This window comes from Homo sapiens, chromosome 5 (assembly GCF_000001405.40).
Source record: "Homo sapiens chromosome 5, GRCh38.p14 Primary Assembly".
Lineage (NCBI taxonomy): Eukaryota > Metazoa > Chordata > Mammalia > Primates > Hominidae > Homo > Homo sapiens.
Window position 1 is genome coordinate 122,447,917 of NC_000005.10, and position 6,664 is coordinate 122,454,580.

Consider the following 6,664-nt stretch of genomic DNA (forward strand, 5'->3'; position numbering starts at 1 on the left):
TGTTAGACAATTACATGTCAGTAGGTGAGTCTGGAAGAATGAGTGAGATAAAATGAGATCACAGACTTCTCTGGTCTTAGTGATGAAATGTTTGGACTAAAACTGATAGCTTCTGAGAAAAACAAAGTGCTTGGAGCTTATAGAAGAGTATTAGCAGGATCCGATCTCACATAATTAGATTTAGCCAGCTAATCGTTGCTGAGTATATGCAGTGACACTCAGCAAGGAGAACATTGGGCCAATATCTGAAGTACAGCAGTCATTTTAAGAAAATTTATGATATATTTGTTTAGTTACATGTCCTGGCTCGTGAGAGCTGCTGTCATTTTTTTCTGCTAATTGTATTATTATAATAGTTTTCTATTGCTCTGTAACAAATTACCACAAGATTAGTGGCTTAAAACAGCATCAAATTTATCTTACAGTTCTGTGGGTCAAGCCAAGCTAGGCAGAACACACCTGTAGTCCCCACTACTTGGGAAGCTGAGGAGGGAGCATCACTTGAGCCAGGGGTTCAAGTCCAGCCTGAGAAGCATAGCAAGACTCTGTCTCTAAAAATATTTTTAATTAAAAAATTTTTTAATTCAAACAATTTAGGAAAAGTAAATATAACATTTTGAAGTATATCCTTCCATATTTTTTATATATATATATCCTTCCATATTTTATATATATTTTTATATATATTATATATATTTTTATATATATAATATATATTATATGTTATATATATTTTTATATATATTATATATATTATATATGTTATATATATATTATATATATTATATACATATATATAATATATATGTTTTATATATATATATACACACACACACATACATGTGGGAAAGACAGAGTTAGTTTTCTTAAAAATGAGATTACAAGGTCAGGAGATCGAGACCATCCCGACTAACAAGGTGAAACCCCATCTCTACTAAAAATACAAAAAATTAGCTGGGCGGAGTGGCGGGTGCCTGTAGTCCCAGTTACTCGGGAGGCTGAGGCAGGAGAATGGCGTGAACCCGGGAGGCGGAGCTTCCAGTGAGCCGAGATAGCACCACTGCAGTCCGGCCTGGGCAAAAGAGCAAGACTCCGACTCAAAAAAAAAAATGAGGTTACAGATGCTCCTAAATTTACCGTGGGTTTACATCCCAATGAACACATCACAAATTGAAAATATCATAAGGTAAAAATGCATTTAATACACCTAACCTGTAGAACATCGTATCCTAGCCTAGCCTACCTTAAGCGTGTTCAGACCACTTACATTAGCCTACAGTTGGGCAAAATCATCTAACACAAATTGTACTTTATGATAAAGTTTTAATATCCCATGTAATGTATTGACTACTGTACTGAAAGTGAGAAAGAATGGCTGTATGGATACTCAAAGTACAGTTTCTACTGAATCCATATCACTTTCTCACCACTGTAAATTTGAAAAATCACAAGTTATAGTAAGTCAGAGATTGTATGCTGCAAATAGTATTTTGTAGTTTCCTTTTTTATTTAATGAAAGTAAAGTATACTTCATATATACATATTTATATATATGAAACTATGCTTTATATCTACATTATATAGACATAATTAGGAAGACTTCTTCTATGTCCATAGATACTCAAACATATTATCATTTTAATAGCTGTCATTATAGAAATAATTATAATTTGTTCACTGAGACTTACTGCTAAGCATTTAGGTTACTTATAATTTTTCATTAATATTGACAATACATATCTTTTTGGGGTACTTTTGATTGTTTCCTTAGGAAAATTTCTGAACCTGTAAGGATGAATATTATGCACATTTTAAGGCTTTTGTATTTATTGCAACTTACTGGAAATTATTACGAAAAATATTATACACCCTAATTTATAGCAGTAACCAGTATCAGAGTCCTCATGTGTTTTGGTTGTTTTCCCCAGACAAACAGTAGAACGTGTCACGCTGCAGAACCAACTCCAACAATTTCTAGAAGCCCAGAAATCAGAGGGCAAGTCACTCCCTTCTTCACCCAGGTAATACCAGCACATTGTTGTTTAGCATTCTTAAGTATCCTAAATTGTTAAGCCTTCTTCTGAACTTCCTTTGATATATTTTAAGAGGATGACAACAGAAAACATTTTCTTCTTATAAAGAGGAATAAAAATGAGAAATCACAGTGAAAAAGGCACTGGACCTAGAGTCTGAAGACCTGCTGTATTCTCTGATTCTGCTATTTCTTCATTCCACGACTATAAACAAGTCATTTACTCTTTTGTAAGAATTGAATCTTTCAATTCTTCATCTGTGAAGTGGGAATAGGAGATATATATATATAGCTTGATAAGTTTGTTGAAAATGGAATTAACTGAGAAAATTTATGCAAAATTGATGTATAAACAGTAAAACAGACAAATTTAGTAGTCATGGTAGTTATAGCCGAAGGCATAAGGCACCTTATAGCTGATACTATGGAGTATTTGCACATTGTTTCGAAAAGAAATTATGTACTTATCTGTATTCTGTTCTTATTTACTTATACATTATTAGTGTCAGTAAAGACCATGTAGTGACTTGAGTCATTTCAACCCAGTAGGAAATCATCTCATATGTCCTTCATCTTCTTTTTAGTTCACCATCCTCACCTGCCTCCAGAAAGTCCCAGTGGAAATCTCCAGATGCAGATGATGATTCTGTAGCCAAAAGCAAGCCAGGAGTCCAAGAGGGGATTCAGGTTCTTGGAAGCCTGTCAGCCTCCAGCCGGGCTAGACCCAAAGCAAAAGATGAAGATTCTGATAAAATCTTACGCCAGTTATTGGGAAAGGAAATCTCAGAAAATGTCTGCACCCAGGAAAAACTGTCCTTGGAATTCCAGGATGCTCAGGCTTCCTCTAGAAATTCTAAAAAGATCCCACTGGAGAAGAGGGAACTGAAGTTAGCCAGGCTGAGACAGCTGATGCAGAGGTCACTGAGTGAGTCTGACACAGACTCCAACAACTCTGAGGACCCCAAGACTACCCCAGTGAGGAAGGCTGACCGACCAAGGCCGCAGCCCATTGTAGAAAGCGTAGAGAGTATGGACAGCGCAGAAAGCCTGCACCTGATGATTAAGAAACACACCTTGGCATCAGGGGGACGCAGGTTTCCTTTCAGCATCAAGGCCTCCAAATCCCTGGATGGCCACAGCCCATCTCCCACCTCAGAGAGCAGCGAACCAGACTTAGAATCCCAGTATCCAGGCTCAGGGAGTATTCCTCCAAACCAGCCCTCTGGTGACCCTCAGCAGCCCAGCCCTGACAGTACTGCTGCCCAGAAAGTTGCCACAAGTCCCAAGAGTGCCCTCAAGTCTCCATCTTCCAAGCGTAGGACATCTCAGAACTTAAAACTGAGAGTTACCTTTGAGGAGCCTGTGGTGCAGATGGAGCAGCCTAGCCTTGAACTGAATGGAGAAAAAGACAAAGATAAGGGCAGGACTCTCCAGCGGACCTCCACAAGTAACGAATCGGGGGATCAACTGAAAAGGCCTTTTGGAGCCTTTCGATCTATCATGGAGACACTAAGTGGCAACCAAAACAATAATAATAACTACCAGGCAGCCAACCAGCTGAAAACCTCTACATTGCCCTTGACCTCACTTGGGAGGAAGACAGATGCCAAGGGAAACCCTGCCAGCTCCGCTAGCAAAGGAAAGAATAAGGCAGTAAGTGCTATTTGGAGAATATTCTTTTTTTTCCTTCAAATGGATTATGTTGTTCCTAATATCACAGATTGTGGGCCCACACTACCTTGAGGGAATCCCCAGGAAAAAAAAAAATCCAAAGGGATGCATGGAAAGCCAACTTCATGTGTCTAATGAGACATGTCATGTTAGATACATACCCCTTGCTCTTCTTTTGGAAAATACTCTAAGAGAGAAAGGTTAAAAAAAAAATAAGAGATTATATTCTGGTCCATAAATTTCCCTAAATGGCCTAATCTTTAGGTGTTAGGGTCCTAGACTTGGAGGCATTTCTGCAAGATGAAACCACCAATTAGCGCAAGTTTAGTCCTGCATTGGCATTGATTCTGTCCCAAGGAAGAGTTTGTTCTCTTCATGTGATGGGATAGTTTATTCTCAGGCCCAATTAAAAAGTACATAAATAGATGCTCTATTGCCAAAGACTTAACTACACAACTTTGGGATGACCTTTGAAATGAATACACCACAGGGACCTCCACATAGGTATTTTACAACACAGACTCCTAAGTGTTGATTGGAGCCTATAGGAGCCTGAAGTGCTTGCCAGTCCACAGGGGATGGCAGAGTATGCCATGAACTACATTTTATAATTGCCTTCACTGGAAACCCATGCACTATAATCTGTGATTTATATCCAGTGGATAGGCGATATGAACATCTTTTTAGGCAATGTTTCCTGCAAGCTTTGTGCTTGCCATGCCATTAAAAAATGGTATAGCAGCCAAAATGCAAAACTCTCTGTGGAATGGAATGACCTAGATCATTCTCCATGTGATCCAGATAAACCACCCAGTGGAGCTGCAGAATCTTTGTAATTTATCATTAGCTATAATGTTAGAATCCCATTACAATGAGGTCTAAGAACTGTCCAAATTCTTTTTGCAGTACCCAAATCAAGTTTTAGTGAGTATTTCTCTAATAAGTTGAACACCAAATTTTAAATTAAATATCAAATTCCTCTGTAAATTGTCCTTGTTATAGAAGACTATATCATGTATTTGTTTCAGCTAGAAAAGGCATACTCGTGCCCAAAACACCAGACCTTTTGGGTTAAATGTGTCAAAACTTAAGTCACTCAGATCAAACTTTTCCAGGTAACTTACTGGGTTCTGCTGCTCAGTAGTAACAGAAGAATCATCTCAATTGCCCATGCTCCTTAAAGTGCATACTAAGCCACTGTCCTCTAATCTATCTATCTTCCTGCATGCTTCATGTTTACTGGGACTTGTGCATGTGCTGAGCTTGTTGCATGTTTTCAGATGATTTTTAATTGCACCTCTCTAGGAAATGTACAGCAGCTGCATCAATCTTTCCTCTAACATGCTGATTGAAGAGCATCTGTGTAACGACACACGGTACGTGGTGCTAGGAGATATGCTGTGCGGCATTGACATGCTTTGCTTTGAATTGCATGAGCTTTTAAATCATGGACTTGGAGCACCTTTCATCAGGGGATAACACCAAGGAAGAAGAAAATTACAACTATTCCCCCAAGTAGAAGCAGGCACTGATGTAATGGTAACTAGGTCTTAGGTCGCTAGTCTGCCCTTGGAGGGCTTTATTCCAGTGTCAGCCAGAAGAATCTGCTCAGTTCACAAACTTTTGCTGTATTTCCTAGTTGACTTTAGCTTTCAATCTTTGTTTTAATGGAGTCAAGTATTAAGAAAGTATTGAAATTAAATTTCCTGTCATGGTGGAGTGAGTCAGCCTCCGATCAGAACTAGAACTTTGAAACAGAGCTTTAATTTTATTTCAGTGCTGATTACAAACCAAAAGCTCCTTTTATTACCATTTTGCTGATCTCAGGAGAAGCAAGGCCTTGCCATTCTGAAATTTCTCTGTGTTAGCATTATGAACACGATTTCAGTCCATGAGCCAGGTTTATGAGTGCCCTCTAATAAAACAAGGGCCTTTCTCAAATAAGACGTTTACAATTCAAAATGCATGGACTACATAACACAGAAAGGAGAGAATCGAGTCCCCAGTGGCTGGGCCACCTCCTTGGGCAAAGTTCTTCTGCAACATAGCTTTCATCTCCCTGTGGGATGAAACCAGTATGCCTTAATTGGTTTACTTCAGAAGAGTTACATCCCTAAACCCATTTTAAAAGACTATCACTTTTTTTTTTTTTTTTTTGAAGACAGAGTCTCACTCTGTCACCCAGGCTGGAGTGCAGTGACACGATCTTGGCTCACTGCAACCTCTGCCTCCCGGGTTCAAGTGATACTCCTGCCTCAGCCTCCCGAGTAGCTGGGATCACAGGCCTGTGCCACCACATCTGGCTAATTTTTCTAATTTTAGTAGAATGGTGTTTTGCCACGTTGCTCAGGCTGGTCTCAAACTCCTGGCCTCAAATGATCCACCTGCCTCAGCCTTCCAAAGTGCTGGGTTTACAGGCGTGAGCCACCGCACCCAGTCATAAAAGACTATCACTTTTTAAATATTTAAACGAATTGAAAAATTATAACATGCCATTCAGCACTCTTCCAAAATCCTCCAAAGCATGCATGTGGGTAGGTGGATAGGTGGGTGTTGGTGTGGATGTATTTGTGTGTTGTGGGTATGAATTTTAGTTGAGAATACTAAGTTGTAAGAAAGTCACTCTGCTTTTTTCTTCCTCTAAATCAAATTTAATCTGCTCTAAGTCTTTATTCAGGCTAGAGAGAAATTAAATCTCAGTCATTTTAGGGGATGCCCCTAGGGGGCTCATTAATTCAGTATGTTAAAGGAAGAACCTTGGAGCTTCAATATTTACTGGTCACCAGTGATCTGCTTGGGTCAGGCTCACATGTTGCCAGAAGTCAGGTGTCTGAACTGCTTCCGGCCTCACCGGGGCAGGGAATCTTGGCCAATGGTGAGAGCCCAATGCCTGGGGTGGGAAAGGAATAGAAAAAAAACATACTCATTCCCCTCCTAGACCTTGGTATTAGCCCACTTCTA

At 39.3% G+C, this 6,664-nt stretch overlaps 1 protein-coding gene and 1 long non-coding RNA gene across 50 annotated transcripts in view; one reads left to right on the plus strand and one right to left on the minus strand.

The window, feature by feature from the left end:
* SNCAIP (synuclein alpha interacting protein) overlaps nt 1-6,664 on the plus strand; it is a 152,867-nt gene that overhangs the window by 136,564 nt on the left and 9,639 nt on the right. For 25 of the 49 annotated variants that reach the window (NR_131762.1, NR_131761.1, XM_047417925.1 and 22 more), the window contains 2 exons: nt 1,929-2,021; nt 2,617-3,685. Coding sequence is in view for 47 of the 49 variants with exons in the window: in XM_047417925.1 (XP_047273881.1) it covers nt 1,929-2,021; nt 2,617-3,685 (1,162 nt within the window). In the remaining 2 variants the exon portion in view is untranslated. Of the gene's footprint in view, nt 1-1,928; nt 2,022-2,616; nt 3,686-5,008; nt 5,080-6,664 lie in introns of all 49 variants that reach the window. The other 24 variants (XM_006714734.3, XM_024446266.2, XM_011543738.3 and 21 more) reach the window with 1 other exon arrangement.
* Nucleotides 1-6,664, minus strand: part of SNCAIP-AS3 (SNCAIP antisense RNA 3) — a 42,591-nt gene that overhangs the window by 11,420 nt on the left and 24,507 nt on the right. The window contains exons 3-5 of the long non-coding RNA NR_051996.1: nt 6,460-6,593; nt 3,865-3,890; nt 2,631-2,750 (exon numbers count right to left, since the gene is read on the minus strand). This is a non-coding gene — a long non-coding RNA (SNCAIP antisense RNA 3). The remainder of the gene's footprint in view (nt 1-2,630; nt 2,751-3,864; nt 3,891-6,459; nt 6,594-6,664) is intronic.